Here is a 17051-nt window from a genome sequence, read left to right on the forward strand (position 1 = left end):
ATATTAATTAGGAAAAAACATACTAAATAATAAGAATAAAAACTCAAAGAATAAGGAGATATTACAAAATTAAGAAATGAGTGAGAAAAGATAAGAGAGTAATAAGAACTAGGAATAAAACAGAATCAAAACCAGAAGTTTAATTGGTAGAATACCAGCATACTATCAACTTCAAGGCCCCTAATGAGCCCATGGTTCAGGCCTCTCACCCTTTTACAGTCTATTTTGAGCAGGACACAAAGTTCTCTTGACTAAAAAGTAAAACAAAATGACCAAATTATTATTTTTGAAATGGAGAATTTATCTACATTGTATATAACAAAGAAATGAGAGTATGTTAAGTATTTTGATATTAACATTTGAAATTACAATTCCACAGTGCGAGAAATCATGTTTTTATTTTTATTTATTTCTTGACACACAATCTTGTTCTGTTGCCCAGGCTGGAGTGCGGTGGCATGATCATGGCTCACTGTAGCCTCAATCTCCCAGGCTCAAGTGGTCCTCCCACCTCAGCCTCCAGAATAGGTGGGACTATAGGACGGTGCCACCACACCCAGCTAAATTTAAAATTTTTTGTAGAGATGGGTTCTCACTATGTCGTCCAAGCTGGTCTCAAACTTCTGGATTCAACCAATCCTCCTAGCTCAGCCTTTCAAAGTGCTGGGATTTCAGGTGTGAACCCCTATGCCTGGACAGAAATCATGTTTTTATACAGTATTCCAATTTAAAACTTAAAATACAAAATTATTTTAAATATATCAGAGTAAATATGAGACCAAATAAAAAAGTTAATCTATTTGGTTTTGTGTCACAAAAAATAGTCATCCACGTAAAACTTAGAGGAAAAAAATTTATATTTTGAATCGGAGGTTTTAAAAAGACAGACTTCAGGTAGAGTGAATATAAACATTGAATTACTTTCCTTTCTACAAATTGAAAACTATAAAAATTATTTTTAAGGTGAACTAGCTCAGTAAGATATGTATAGCAATTCTGGTGTAATCTCAAATTCAATTTGAATCTGTGACCAACTCCCCAGTTACTGATTCAAAAGTAGAAGACATATTTAAAAGCAGACTAAGTAAATGCATTTAAAACTTCAATGATAAAACAATGGTGCATGATCTCTCAAAGTATAAATGAATTGGCATAAATAAAAAAACAAAAACACAAACATGTAAGAAAAGCATTAATGTCACTACTATAAAAAATGAATTATATGCTTACTTCATACTAGATATTATTAAACATGTTAAGCAATTATGTTTTTCCAGCATGAGATGATCCAAAGTACAAAGCAAACCAGCAGGATGAAGAATTAAAAAAAAAAAATCCACACATTACTAAGACAACCAAATATGAAATGTAGAACTTACTACAACTGGCAAATTATAAAGAGTTGCAAAGAAATTAGCCTATTTTAGTTCTAATATTTAATTCCTACCAATGAAAATAGTAATGTAGATGTATTTGTGTTACTAACAAAATGTATAGTTCTTACCATCTTCAGATGCTGTTCCTAAATAAGAAAAATAAAACAACATTTCAACAAATTCTGCCAATGTTGATATTAAGACCTACCTCACAGTCCCCACCCAACACTACAATGAAAGGGTAAAAACAAAAAATTAACTTTTAGTCTGACAGCCTTAAATTAACTGCGGGAAGGTTCATTTTGAGAAAAACAAAATTTGAGGTAATCCAATGATTCACAGCACACGGAAACTAGACAAATAAAAATAACAAAATTCTATAGGAAACACTTTTTGTCTGCTATATTGCATTCTTAAAATTTGAAATGGTATAAAAAATTAGAGAAACTCATCACTCAAAAAAATGTAACTCTGTAATTACTCTTTGAAAATGAAATTTTATAGACCTTTCCAGAGTAGAAATGTTTTCTCTGCATTTTCAAAAGGTAGCCCATGAAGGAATCAGAAAAAGCTAACTGACAAACATAGGAATAAAATCTATGACCTAGGCCTCACTTGCCCATTTTTATCAAAGCATCTACAAAGCAAAAACCTATCAATCCAATTCATTAGCTATTTATTCAACATTTATGTGCATTCCTTAAGATGTCAATGAAATCTATAAAAAATGACTAAGTACAAACATCATAACTCACTACTACTAAAGCGCAATAATATACGTCTGTGTATTTTTTTTAAACATAGGATTGAACATCAGTAAGAGTAACACATCATATAACAGTAGTGACTTCTCAAATAGATTGAGATTTCCTACCCAAACAGGAAAATATTTTGAACTGGAAAGTGATAAAAGTTCGTTTTTAAAGGATCCAGAATATCAATATTAGGATGTCTAAGGGGTTTGATACATAGAAACCATCTCTTGATGGGCTATCATTTCATTCAATATTTTATTATAATCATATAGAAAAGCAGACACTAATATAACTAGCAGTCATGTACCTAACCCAAGGTTTAATAAATGTTCTATCTCATTAAAACAGAAGATATATTAGATCAATTTTCCATTTACATAATAATTTACAGAAAAATATATAGTGTCTGTTTTTCCTAGATCTCATAATGTGACATACAGATTTAGTTTAGTATCTTAAGTTATTTAAAAAAGGTCAAGCTCATAGGTAACATTATGGTATCTGCTGAAGTGAAGGGAAAGTGTGGATAATATACTATCTAGTATCAGACAAAAAATATCATACAGGGTTGTTACTGAACCAAGCCACTACAGATAAACTGTAATCAATTGAATATTGAAATTAAAAGGGCAAAGTTTAAAGTTCAATTTTGACTAAATGTTAGTTTACAACGCACTCTTAAAAAGTCGGCCTCTGTAACTTGCATTTCATTTTCAAAAACAATCATATGAACTTACGAAATATGTCATTTGTCATATCACTTAATAGACTAAAGAGGTGAATGAAATGACTTAGGAGATTTCTTTCCATTCTTCTGAATCCAATATTTTTTATTAAGACTTAACGAATCGAGAATATTCAGAGGCGAACTTCTAAGAGCTCAGGCAAACATTTTATAAGTTAAAACAAAATAGTTACCTAGTATTTGAGCAGACTGGGATATGGTATGCCCAATAGATATCCCTAACCCCAAATTCATTCAGAGAATTATGTAGCCATTTTCACATTAACATTATCACTAAATAAGTATTAATAATATATTTTTAGAAATTAAGAGAAGAATGAACAAGGATATTATATAGAATCCAGGTTCCATAAAAATCTTTAGTAGAATTAGGAAAGGAAGTTCTTACCATCCAGCTTGTCAGAAGTATCCTCTTTGATGAAAGCACAAGCAAAGAACAGAGGAAAACTTAGTATATTAGAAGAAATGATTTTTATAATTCCTAGAAAACATTTTCTTTAAGAAGACAGAATTCATAGTACAGACGTATATATCAAGCTTGTTTTCAACTAAAACAGACTAGGAAATTAAACCAGATGTGAGATAAAGACTTCACCTAATGTACTAAGTAGAGAATTTTTTAAAAGTTGATAATGAGTCTATTTCACTAGCCTAAAAAGAGAAAAGTTAGTGAGGCCCATGTCCCAGCTTTGGACTTTGCCATCATGCCAATCCCCTGCTCTAGTCTGTGAGTTTTTCCCAGACAGTCACATTGCCTTGTTTCTTTTCTCTCTTGCCTATAATATACCCCCAAATTCCACACTTAGGCCCTCTCATCATTAGCCTCTGTTTACCACCTCGTTGCTTCCCCACCCACATCCTTTCTTAGAACTTTCAGCCCCTTTAAAATTTCACATCTGGATGAATCTAACTCACTTTCTCTATTCTATTACTTGAGATGTCCCATAGAGAAAATTACACAACCATGAAGTCATGCATACTGGCACTACTAGAAACTGGAATAAATATCTGACTTGGTGTTTAGTGCCTGTGCTAAAAGGATTTAACATAGCAGGACTGATATTGTTCTTAAGAAGTGTATGCTTGTGGGGCTGGCCTCTGGTAATCGTTTTGGATCCTCCCTGTATTAATGATAAGGTTATTTTAAGTGTGTGTGCAGAAGTTGTGGGGACACTGAACTCTGCTACAGTTTGCCTAAGCTGTTTCTGCAAACAGTGTGGTTTATGGTGAAAACCTCCTTTCTTTTTGGGAGTCTGGGATTCTGGTAATTGTGGCTGGTTGTGCAAGCAGAGTGCCTTATGTGCCTAATTGTGGCTGGCTGTGCAAGCAGAGTGCCAATCCCCTACTGGCCCCCCAGCGTGAGTCTTAAGCTAGCTTCCTTGGGCAGAAACACTGTGAACATGTTGCATTGCTGTATTTCTTTTCTTTTCTTTCTTTTTTTTTTTTTTTTAACAGAGTCTCGCCCTGTCACCCAGGCTGGAGTGCAATGGCACAATCTCATCTCACTGCAGCCTCCACCTCCCAGGTTCAAGTGATTCTTGTGCCTCAGCCTCCCGAGTAGCTGGGACTAGAGGCATGTGCCACCACGCCTGGCTAATTTTTGTATTTTTAGTAGAGACGAGGTTTCACCATGTTGGCCAGGCTGATCTCAAACTCCCAACCTCAAGTGATCTGCCCACCCAGGCCTCCCAAAGTGCTAGGATTACACGTGTGAGCCACTGTGCCCAGCCCACATTGCTCTATTTCATTGCTTGAGGAAGGAGTAGCCCCTCAACCCTAGCTCTGGGAGACAAACTTTGAAAGCCTGCGTCTAGACTCCTTCAGACTATCTCACAGGTCTTTTTTTTTTTTTCACTCTAATAAATCCTTTTGCTCTAACAAATGTCAGCCATGAGTGCCCCACCTCTTGTGTCTACTCTCCCCAAATGGCTATTCTAAACTTCAAGTCACCTGTTAGCACATGATCCTGACTCTGAATCTTCAGGCAGAAAGTCACAACAACCTCCCCAATCACACTCTTCTTAATGTCCAACTTTCCAAAATATCGTATCTGATATCTACTACCTCTTCCAATTCCTTCCCTTCCATCACTTCCTCCCCTTCTACATCTGTGAAATGGCTCACCCTTCCACATTCAAGACTAACTCCCAGGCTATGCTCCATATCCCATTCCTCACACCTTCCACAGCAACTTAGCTATTAATTATCTCCTTTCATCCTTACACTTCTAACTTTTCCATCTCTACTGACTTGCCACCTTAGGATACAAACATAATTAACTTCTCCAATCTTATAAGATGATAAGTTCTTTCAACCACAGATAATTCCTACCATTCTTTCACCCCTTTTCTTGACCGTCAGGCGTAACAATAATTTACACAGATTCTCTTTCCAACTTCTATATCAACCAACTAAAATCTGACTTCTGTCCATATGACCTCATTGAAACTATATTTTCTTTTCCACTCAAGCAATTCCATAAACTCAATTGTTAGAATAAATATTCATAAATATGTACTCAAACATCAAGGTTACCTTAACTTAAATTCCTGTTTCCTACCACCAAGTTTCCTCTTCAGGCTGAAGTTAAAGAGTGAACTTCAAAACACTTAAAATATCCCTGCTGCCAAAAAATTCAGTACTTTAGAGATAACAAAAACCAGTAGCAACTGCTTTAAGAAGGAATGCTCTGAGTTTAATATTGATTACAGTAAGTAAAATCATCTAATGACTTCCAAATCGAATCTAATCATCATCACTCTGCTAAGTAGTTGTTGTTGTCTTATTTATTTATTTATTTATTTATTTATTTTGGAGAACGTGGAAAGGTCTCGCTCTGTCACCCAGGCTGAAGTGCAGTGGTGTGATCACGGCTCACTGCAGCCTCTACTTCCTGGGCTCCAGCAATCCTCTCACCTCAGCCTCCCTAGTAGATGGGCCCACAGGCATGTGCTACCACACCTGGTTAAATTTTTATTTTGGTAGAGGTGTGGTTTCGCCATGTTGCCCAGGCTGGTCTCAAATTCCTGAGCTCAAGCAATTCACCCGCCTCAACCTCCCAAAGTGCTGGGTTTACAGGTGTTGAGTCACTGTGCCGGCCTCTCTGCCAAGTTCTATACTACTATATACCAAGTGTCCACTGAAAACTTCCAGTTTGAAGTCTCACAGGGACTTCAAACTCAAAATGCATAAAACGCAACAAACTTTTAGCTGCTCATCCTTCAGCAACCTACCAATAGACTGAGAGAGATTCAGTATAGAAGCATATACCTCTGGATCCCTGGTACCTAGCAAAAACTAAGTGCTCAAGTGTGTGCTGAAAACTAACAGAACACTCCCTCTAATTCATACATGTATAGCCATAAGTGAGGCTCAAAGTAGAAGAAAACAGAGGTTATATCAGTCTTACGTGTGTAAGAAGGGTACATGAGACACAGCGGGTAGGGTGGGGTGAAGGGAGAAAGGGAAGGAGGGTAAGAAGGAGAACATCCTTTATCCAACCCCTGAAAAAGCCGCAGGCAGGTAGCTGATTGTCCCTGAGTGGGAACCTGGGTCAGATGAAGAAAAGAAAAAAGTAGTGGCACTCTCCTTTTTACAATGAAACATGAAATTCAAACCTTAAAGAACAACAATAGGTTCTCACAAAAAAAAATTGTCCCAAATTGGCTTTCTAGTGCACATTAAAGCACTTTAAATACAGTATTTTTCTTCGGTAAAAATAATAGATATTCAATGTAATGTGTTTTGCTCATATATATATTTTTTTTGTGTGTGTGTGTGTGTGGATTCCTTAGGATTTTCTAAACACAAGATTGTGTTTTCTGCAAAGAGAGACAGTTTGTTCTTCCATTCCAATTTGGATACCTTCTATTTATTTTCTTGCTTAATTGCCCTGTCTAGCACCTCCAATTTAACATTACTTCAAGGTAATGTTAAATAGGGCCAAGAGTGGACATTCTCGTCTTGTTACTGATCTTAGGGAAAAATATCCAGTTTTTTAATCGTCAGGTAGGATGTTAGCTGTGGATTTTTCAGATTCTCTTTATCAGGTTGAGAAAGATGACTTCTGTTCCTAGTTTGTTGAGTATGTTTATTATGAAAGGGTGTTAATTTTGTCAAATGCTTTTTCTGCAGCTACTGAGATGATCATGTGGTTTTGGTCCTTTCTTCTATTAATATGGTACATTTGTTGACTGGTCTTCACATACTGAAATAACCTTGCATTCTTGGCAATGTAATGCTTTGAAACAAAAAGTTTTCTGAAAATTAAAAGCAGTAATCAACACACTGTTAACACCTTTGTATATATCACACCAGTCCTTCTTCTATGTATAATTTTACACAAAATGATGAAATTACTACATACTATTTGGTAGTCTGCATAATTCAACCTTTGTTGAAAATATGACTTGCTAATGGCTGCACAACATATATAAGGATACAATATAACTCAACCATCCCCTCTGTTACACATTAAGGTTGATGCTAATAACGTTATTAAAAACATAATTATGTAAACATTGAATTACTGGGGCAAACATTCTGATTTAAAAATGCTTCATGGAATTCCTAAATTGGAACTCAGAAAAAGTGTCCCATCACTAATTCACATCAGTGTTGCTTGATAAGGCTTTTTTTTTTTTTTTTTTTTTTTGAGGCGGAGTCTTGCTCCGTCCCTCAGGCTGGAGTGCAGTGGCAAGATCTCGGCTCACTGCAACCTCCGCCTCCCGGGTTCACGCCATTCTCCTGCCTCAGCCTCCCGAGTAGCTGGGACTACAGGCGCTCGCCACCACGCCCGGCTAGTTTTTTTTGTATTTTTAGTAGAGACGGTGTTTCACCGTGTTAGCCAGGATGGTCTCGATCTCCTGACTTCGTGATCCACCTGTCTCGGCCTCCCAAAGTGCTGGGATTACAGGTGTGAGCCACCGTGCCCGGCGATAAGGCCCTTTTTACCACATTCTTGAAAACAGTGGGCACTACCCTTAACTTTTGTGTTATAGTTACAGGTCTATCAATTTGTATTTGTTTGATTATAGCTAAGGTTCAACATTTATTCTGGTATTTGTTGGCCATTTTGACATATGCTTTTCTTGATATATGTAGAATTTTTTCTATAAAAATAAGCTCATCTGTTTTTAACAGACTTGAAAAACCTCAACATTTTAACTTTTTTACTACTATGTGGCAAAATATTTTTCCCTTTTAGTTTTTGCTTAAGATTTCATATTTTCATACTTTAGATTTAAATTCAAGAGATTTTTTTCCTTCATGGCTTATTTGCTTTTATGTATAGGAATTCCTGTCTCAACCTGAGATTTGATGAATACTCACCTATTATGTTTTCATCAAGTTGCTTTATGTTTTTAATGTTTTTATCATCTGGAATATATTTCTATATGGTGTGTAACATGGTTCTAACTTAATTTTATACCAGATTGTAAACCATGTGTCTAAACACAATTTACTGAATGATCTATTCCTCTTCACGGTTCTGAATGCAGCTGTGCCAACTTTATCATGCACTATACTCATACCTAAATTCTCTGCACTTCTAACAGGTTGAGTACTCCTTATTTAAAATGTTTGGGGCCAAAAATGTTTTAGATTTCAGATTTTGAAATATGTGCATTCATACTTAAATGACTGAGCATCCCTAGGCATTGCTAATTCAAAAATCCAAAATCCGAAATACCTTTTTTTTTTTTTTTTTTGACGGAGTCTCACTCTGTCGCCCAGGCTGCAGTGCAATGGCACGATTTTGGCTCACTGCAACCTCTGCCTCCTGGGTTCAAGTGATTCTCCTGCCTCAGCTTCCCAAGTAGCTGGGATTACAGGCATGAGCCACCATGCCCGGCTAAGTTTTGCATTTTTAGTAGAGATAGGGTTTTGCCACTTTGGCCAGGCTGGTCACGAACTCCTGACCTCAGGTGATCTGCCCGCCTCAGTCCAAAATACCTTTGAGTGTCATGTTGGTGCTCAAAAAGTTTCAGATTTTGGAGCATTTCAGATTTCAGATTTTTAGATTAGGTATGCTCAACCTGTATTGTGTTCTGGCGATCTGCCTGCTTAGTGTTCCAGCAGTACTACCCAAAAGAAAAAAATGGAAGCATGAAGAAGAGATACGCAAACCAACGTCAACTTTTTAATTTGATAGACATAAAAACATGAAGAAATCAAACTGAATAGAGTTTTGGAATATATGTTTAGGGTTTGGTTAGACAGAGTAGAGCTTTGCAGTTCTCCCAGATCTCCAAAAGGCTTCACATTCTTGGTAAGAGAAGAGAAGTAGGAGAAAGAAAACAGGAAAGTTAGATACAAGCCAATTCCCTTCCCAAACCCCCTTAGAAACCAGTGGCTAGATGTGGTAGAAGTGCAGTTATGAAAATTCTACAGGCAATCATGGATTCAAGAATTGTTTCTTTGATCAAGACGATGATGAGAACAAGGGAAAAGGAGAAACAAGGCAGCTCAGATTCCTCAGAAGTGTGTCCGCAATATAGAATTATATTAAAACATATGGACTATCCTTAAATAACAAGAATGAATAGAAATGATTAAGGTATATGAACTTGTCTTCACAGAGATCAGGGAGAGAACATGGTACAATTTTCCATAATCAGTTCTCTTACCTAGTGACGCATAGGAACCTGCATTCAGGGCACCTGCACCTAAGCGCCCGCTTCGCACAGACTGTCCAGCAGCATGATGTGCCTTGGCACCTGCAGCAGCATTCACATCAATGTCACTTCGTGAACGCTGCAGGCTTCCTGGAAGGGAACTGGCTTTGCTGCTGCCTGCTGATACTACGAAATACAAAGCAAAGATAACTTATATCATTTAAATCACTGAAAACATGAAAATTATATAAACCTGACCACCATGAGCTAATCTGATGACAAATGGTCAACAAAAAGGCTGTGGCCAAATGGACAGTACTATTAAGCATTTTAAAGTCAGAATGCCTCAGTTTCAATCACAACTAAGTCTTCAGCAATTTTCTCAATATTTCTCTACCTTATTTCTCTCCCATAAAAATGGGAAAAATGGTGACATTGTGACTGTAAAATTCATAGGACTGTTTTGTAGATGAAGAGATGATGTTTAGGACTGATTTGTGCAAAGGAAGCACTGTACAAGATAAATAGAAAGCAGCAGTATTATTTTTTACTATGATAAAAATACAAGAAAAACTAGTCCAGGAGTAGAGATATTAAAAAATTAATGGAGGTTCTGCCACTCCATGGGAATGCAAATTAAGTCATTCAATTTCTGGTCTTCAGTTTTTCAGTTTTTTATTTTTATTTATTTTATTTTTTTTGAGACAAAGTCTCGCTCTGTCACCCAGGCTGGAGTGCAGTGGCGCGATCTCGACTCACTGCAACCTCCACTTTCTGGGTTCAAGTGATTCTCCTCCCTCAGCCTCCTGAGTAGCTGGGATTATGGGCACGTGCCACCATGCCCTGCTAATTTTTGTATTTTTAGTGGAGATGGGGTCTCCCCATGTTGGCCAGGCTGGTCAGGAGTTTTATAAACTGTGAGTTATGACCCATTAATAGGTTGTAAAATCAACTGAGTGCGTCATGAGAAGCATTATGAAGAAATGAAACAATTGAAAACAGAGTGCATCACAAGTAAGAGTAAGTATGGCTTCCTGGAACTTCGGGTTTTATTATATATGTATACACGTATACATATACAGGTACAGTGCATATGTGTGGTACTGAGTTACCAAGTAAAACGATCTTTTCACTATGGAGCACATCAAAAGAGTTTGAAGGCTACTGTTTCAAAGATAAAATAGGTTATAACTCTTATTTAAAGAGAAAATTACCTCTTCCAGCCACAGTTGATGGATTTGCTGTAGACCATTTGGAAGAAAAAGGGCGACTGCAAAGTATAAAAAATGCTTTTAGTAAGAAGACAATTTAACACTCCTCTGATAAAAACCAATAAAATACTACTGAATTTTGTGGAAAGTTGAGAAGTATTTCTTTTTTCTTTTTTTTTTTTTTTGAGACAGAGTCTTGCTGTGTCACCCAGGCTACAGTGTAGTCCCATAATCATGGCTCACTGCAGTCTTGACTTCCCAGACTCAAGTGATCATCCCACCTCAATCTCTCAAGTTACCTGGGACTATATGTGCCTGCCACCAAGCGTGGCTAATTTTTAAATTTTTAATAGAGATCGGGTTTCCCTAAGTTTCCCAGGCTGGTCTCAAACTCCTGGGCTCAAGTGTGATCCTCCTACCTCAGCCTCTCAAAGTGCTGGAATTATATGTGTGAGCCACCGTGCCTAGCTGGTACTTCCAATTTGAATTCTCCTTTTACAAATCGCATTAGAACAGTTCCTCCCAATCATCAGGTATCAATGTGTCTCAATTAGCTATGAAGCAAAAATAAAATACTGGCAGTGAATAAAGACTAAGCTCTACAGAGACAGGGATCAGGTTGCCTTTGTTCACTCTGCTCCTCAACACACATCATGGTGACCACCAAAGAGAACTCGATAACAGTACTATTATTTTTCACTTGTATCCTGAGATATTTTACTTAGAAGAAAGGGGTAGTGTTATCACTAGCACATAGGCAACTCAGCATAACCAAAGCCTCTCTCACCTAAGTTGTAAGGTTGTAATGTCCGTGTAATGTTTAAGCTAACATCACATTATTTTTATAAGTGTCTCCCAAAATTGTTATTCTCTTAGATTGAGGCGGATCACTTTAAGGTTCACAGAATCTAAAGTTGTTTATGTTTAAAAATGTTACATTAGAGCAATATAAAATATCTTCCTTTAGATCCTTTGTACTCAAAATATGGTCCATGAACAAACAGCATTTAGCATCACCTAGGAGCTTGCAAAAAATGAAAAATCTCAGGCCCCACCCCAAAATTACTGAATCAGATTCTAGATTTTAAAAAGATCTTCAGGTGATTTGTATATACTTTAAAGTCTGAGCATAGTTAATAAAAAGAGAACAAAAGCAACAAAGACAGCTCATTTCAGATGAGGAACTTATCACAAATTTAAATAGAAGTTTAAACAGAAATTTAAATAAAAGTTTAGATAGGTCATTATTCCTACAACAATTATTTTTGAAATCAGATCATAACTGCTTTTACTCTGAAAACCTATAAGCAACTGAACTTTAGTACAGTATTTGAATGACCCAGTGAGTGCCTGCTTAAATTCTGTACCCTAGGTGCCTCACTTGCCTCACCCTGGTCCCAGTTCTGCATCAGAGTTGCCAAGGAAACCGGCAATCTTTGTGGTGGTCAAGATCCCAAAAAGAAAGAAATTACAGAGAAGTTTTTTGGAAACAGAGTCTCACTCTGTTTCCCAGGCTGGAGTGCAGTGGCACGATCTCAGCTCACTGCAACCTCCACCTCCCAGGTTTAAACGATTCTCCTGCCTCAGCCTCCCAAGTAGCTGGGATTACAGGCACCCGCCACCATGCCTGGCTAATTTTTAGTAGAGATGGGGTTTCACCATGTTGGCCAGGCTGGTCTCGAACTCCTGACCTCAGGTGATCTGCTCGCCTTAGCCTCTCAAAGTGCTGGGATTACAGGCATGAGCTACCATGCCTGGCCTAAGCTGACATTCTCTGAGCTGCTCTTCCCTGGGGGAAATCTGCAGATACATGGCACAGGGCAAGAGGTCACGAAGAGGGACAGGGCCAGTGCTAGGAAGTGGAGAAGGCATCAGTAATTTTAGCAATCTCATAGGGCTAGAGAGACAGAAAACAGGGTTATGGCTGCTAAGCAGTAAGGATTTGAGGTAGCCGTCATCAAGATGAGAATGGAGTTACAGAGAACTAAGTCAGATACTAGATAATGTTGTCCCTTGAGGGATTTCCTGAATTTTTAAGCTGTGCGACAGGTTAGGAAGGAAAGCAGACTAGTCACATAGTGTTGTAGAATTCTCAAGATAACTTCTGAATCTCCATTACAATTCCTCCATTAAATGGGCTATTTATTGTAAGTACTGTTTTTGTGGTATTAAAAAAAAATGTAGTGCTTCCCAGGCTTCTACAGACGTGAACATATTGAAGCAAAATATGAATCATAGAACTCTTTATCCAAAGAGAAGGAATTATGCTGGAAAGTAATCCAACTCTTGAAACAGTAGACCAAAATAAATAAGTGTATTAGAGTTACCATTCTTTCAAGGCTTTAGGTGAAAGCAAACAGATATTCAAGTATCCAACTTATGAAACTTCAGGGAGTTGAGGAGAGGAAGAGACTAGTAATCATTATTTATATGACCTTACTTGAGACTTTCCTGTGAGCTGGATGAGGACCTGTCTGATTGTGGAAGAGATGCTACACTGCCAGAACTCTTTAAGTAAGTTTGAAGACTCTTCTGATAAGATGGCTCAAGGGAATTATATAATGTTTCAGCTTCACCAGGAAAGTGGTTTCTAAGACCCATGTATGTCCTGTTAAAAAAAAAGAAAAGCAGATGAAGTAATAGCTTTACATAATTAGACATTAACAGTAACGTGTACGTTCAAGAAGGATGAAGATAAGCCCACTGGTTTTCAGCATTATCTGATATTTGTCAGGTGAACACTTTCTAAATTGAACAAGTTCCAGTGGAAAGACTGAAGGCTTTTGAGAAAAGGAGATCTCAGTTCAAAACCTGCTGTGCCACTTATAGTTTGTGTGGCCTTGGGTAAACCCCTAAGTGTCCAAATTTCAGTTGCCATCTATGGAGATAACACTATCTTCGGAGGATCATTCTAAGGATTAGAAAATAACATATAACAAGTACTTCAAACAATATCAGGTTCACAATACAAACTTGATAAGTGATAGTCTTTTTATTCATGATGAAAGTGAATAGGTTATGACAAAAAAAGAATACTGATGATTACATGTCAGTGGCAACATGTAGGAGGCTGTTAGATGTCTAATACAGATGTAATGGAGAAAAAACAATCTTAATTTTACTGGAGGGCTAGTCAAGTAAAATACTTGGACACTTCTGATATTTTCATTCTCCTAATACATTTTTTTTTAAAAAAGATTAAACTGTCACAAAACTATACTACACTGACTTACTTTCTTGCCTCCACTCTGGCCTCAGCGTCAGCATCATGAATTCCCTTTTTAATAGTTTCAACCAAGACGGCTGCATGTCTATAAAATAAAATACATCTTTAGAGTTATGATATAGCTGTATGTTTCACCACAAATGGTACTTAAGGCCTATATGTTACATATTAATCACAAACAGGTAGGCGAGGAAAATAAAAATTAATTAGTGTACAATAATAAATCTAAGACCATAAGATTTTCTAATTATCTGCCCCATATGTTTTATTCATGTATGGTTTCCTTCTGACAATCCAATTATTATAAATCTAAAAGTAATTATTTTTACATGGAATTCAGATAGTGTATAAATACATAGTACCTAAATTTTTAATTTTTAATAAATTAGAGAAAAAAAGAATCTTCTGTGTGGTTCCTCACTAATCCACCACTGTAGAAATGATTTGCTAAGTGTGATCAATTGTGATCTGACCAAATTTGAATAGTAGCTGCCACAGAAGAACGCAAAGAAAACTTGAAATTATATTATGCCTACATTAAAAAACAAATTCTATTTTTTAAAAATGAGCTTTAAGAATTCAAGAATTTCCATGAAAATGAAAAATCAGCAATATACTCAAGGTAAATACAATGTCTTCCAAGCTTCAAACTTGAAGTTAATGAGAAATATAGCCATGCAAATAGCCAGTCACCAATCAGCTGCCCACATTTTCCTCTCCGTCATCTCAGAGTTACACTAGACATTGCCCAGTATATACTTGACCAATGACATCTGACAGCTGGTGTGGAGAAACCTCCCAACAAATATCTCTTCTTAAAAATCTCTTTCCTCTGAAAGGAGGCTCCTTCCATCTTAAATCATTCATTACATGATTGATTACACTTCAGGAAACTTACATCATATGACTAGAGATACATTTTTAAACTTTTGCCCAACTCAACTTGGAGTATCTTATATAACCCATTCTATTTGAGAAACCCTTACCCATCCCACAAACAAAGAAGAAAATCATACTATTCATGGTTGTAATGAGTAAGAGGAGCACAACACCACCACAGCTTTAAAGGAAAACCAGTACAAATAACCTTTGAAGCAAAATGAGAAATAATGTAAAACCAATACCATCAACTTCTAAAGAACTGGTGACAATGGGGAGGAAAGTGGGAGGAAGGAAGAGGGAATGCATACCTTTCCAATGAATGAGTCTGCCACTCTTGCAACAATAAATCTAAAAATTCAAATGAACGTCTGAAAAATAAAAGTTGAATGATAACTAAATGTTGTATTGAGAAATACATTAACACTTTCTTTTATACTACTACACTTTGCCCCCTAAATTAAAGCATAAGACATGTTTTTAGATATCTTTTTTTTTTTTTTTTTTTTTTTTGGAGACAGAGTTTCACTCTTCTTGCCCAGGCTGGAGTGCAGTGGCGCGATCTCGGCTCACTGCAACCTCTGCCTCCCGGGTTCAAGTGATTCTCTTGTCTCGGCCTCCCAAGTAACTGTGAATACTGAACTTACTCAGGATCCAATTATTGTTATGCTAAACAGTTCAAAAATACTTTAAGACTTCCTCATAATTTTAACTTAAAATGTGTGTCAAATATAAACCTTAAGGCTGGGCGTTGTGGTTCATGCCTGTAATCTCAGCACTTTGGAAGGCTGAGGTGGGTGGATCACTTGAGGTCAGGAGTTCGAGACCAGCCTGGCCAACATGGTGAAGCTCTGTCTCTATTAAAAATACAAAAATTAGCTGGGTATGGTGGTGTATGCCTGTACTCCCAGCTACTTGAGAGGTGGAGGCAAGAGAATCGCTTGAACCTGGGAAGCGGAGGTTGCAGTGAGCCGAGATCCTGCCACTGTACTCCAGCCTGGGCAACACAGTGAGAACCTGTCTCAAAAATAAATTAAATAAAATTTAACAAGTTTCATTTATTAATTTAAAAATATTTATTAAACATCTATGCACTTGACAGTGAAGATATACAATGGTGATCAAGAAAGCCACAACAATCTGGATCTTTCATCTTTACACTGTTTCCTTACATATGTATGTATATGACTTTACATAAAGTTTGTGTACATTTTCTCCTAAGTCCTCTATTTCTCAGTTTCTTCAACTGTCTCATACTTGAGCTCCTCTCCTTCCTTGGCATTTGATGACACAGCTCTGACCTGTATTTCTTCCTTTATTAACACTTTTTCCTCCACTTTCCCTTAAACAGATGCTCACCTGGTTGGTACCAATATTAGCCCACTTATCTTTTTATAGTCTTTTTATTGAGGCAACATAATCTGTACCCTTAGTTCTGCTTATGAGATATAATTATCACATCTAGTCCTGTATCTCCAGCATTGATGTATCACTTCAGCTGTCAAAGTTCCAACTGGTTTATGGATGTCTCTACATAGGCAGTGAATGTCAACTCAAACACTACATAGAAAACAAGGAATTAATTCGTACCCTTTCAAATCTACTCTTTTAGCTCATATACTACAGATTAGGAAATGAGAAATGGGGAGGTTAAATTAACTTGCTCAAAGTGATGGAGTTAAACTTAAACCTTGGCATTCTGACTCCAGAACTCACAGTCTGAAGCACTTAACACCACCCTCCTCATCTATATCCAATTATCAAGTCTCATTTCTACACATGAAATACGTTTTGAACTTGTTAATTAAATAAAACCTTCAATCAATTATCAACACAGTTCAACACAGTTCTAGTTCAGACTCTGCTTCTCTCTTCCATGAATTATAACAACTCCTATCTAATTAAACAATGCTTTTCATTGTTTCTTCTCAATCACTTTCATAGCTGGAGTAAAAATTAGGCTTGGACATCACCTCCTCACCAAAAATCTACAACTGTCAAAGATTCCTACTATCTATGAAATAAAGTCAAAATTCCTTTTCATAACATTCAAAGCCCTCCACACTATGATCTCAACCTACTCCCCAGCCTTCAACCACCTTCTTTTCCCACTGAAACCTTTCATTTATCATATGTTCTGGCCTCAGGGGCCTATCTGATGGCTCTGCAGCATATGACATAGCTTTACATTTCTGCTTAGGTTGTACTCCACTCACTCTCCCTACAGTTAATGGATTGCTCC

At 37.0% G+C, this 17051-nt stretch overlaps 1 protein-coding gene across 81 annotated transcripts in view; it reads right to left on the reverse strand.

Annotated features, from left to right (window-relative positions):
• The window catches only part of CLASP2 (cytoplasmic linker associated protein 2), a 222010-nt gene that overhangs the window by 97202 nt on the left and 107757 nt on the right, over window positions 1–17051 (reverse strand). For 60 of the 81 annotated variants that reach the window (NM_001365632.1, XM_047447757.1, NM_001365631.1 and 57 more), the window contains 7 exons: window positions 15121–15180; window positions 13938–14015; window positions 13145–13312; window positions 10708–10763; window positions 9506–9679; window positions 3265–3288; window positions 1505–1522 (listed from right to left, as the gene is read on the reverse strand). In NM_001365632.1, the coding sequence (NP_001352561.1) occupies window positions 1505–1522; window positions 3265–3288; window positions 9506–9679; window positions 10708–10763; window positions 13145–13312; window positions 13938–14015; window positions 15121–15180 (578 nt within the window). The remainder of the gene's footprint in view (window positions 1–1504; window positions 1523–3264; window positions 3289–9505; window positions 9680–10707; window positions 10764–13144; window positions 13313–13937; window positions 14016–15120; window positions 15181–17051) is intronic. The other 21 variants (NM_001375713.1, NM_001400406.1, NM_001375705.1 and 18 more) reach the window with 2 other exon arrangements.

Source organism: Homo sapiens, chromosome 3 (assembly GCF_000001405.40).
Source record: "Homo sapiens chromosome 3, GRCh38.p14 Primary Assembly".
NCBI classification, from domain to species: Eukaryota; Metazoa; Chordata; class Mammalia; order Primates; family Hominidae; genus Homo; species Homo sapiens.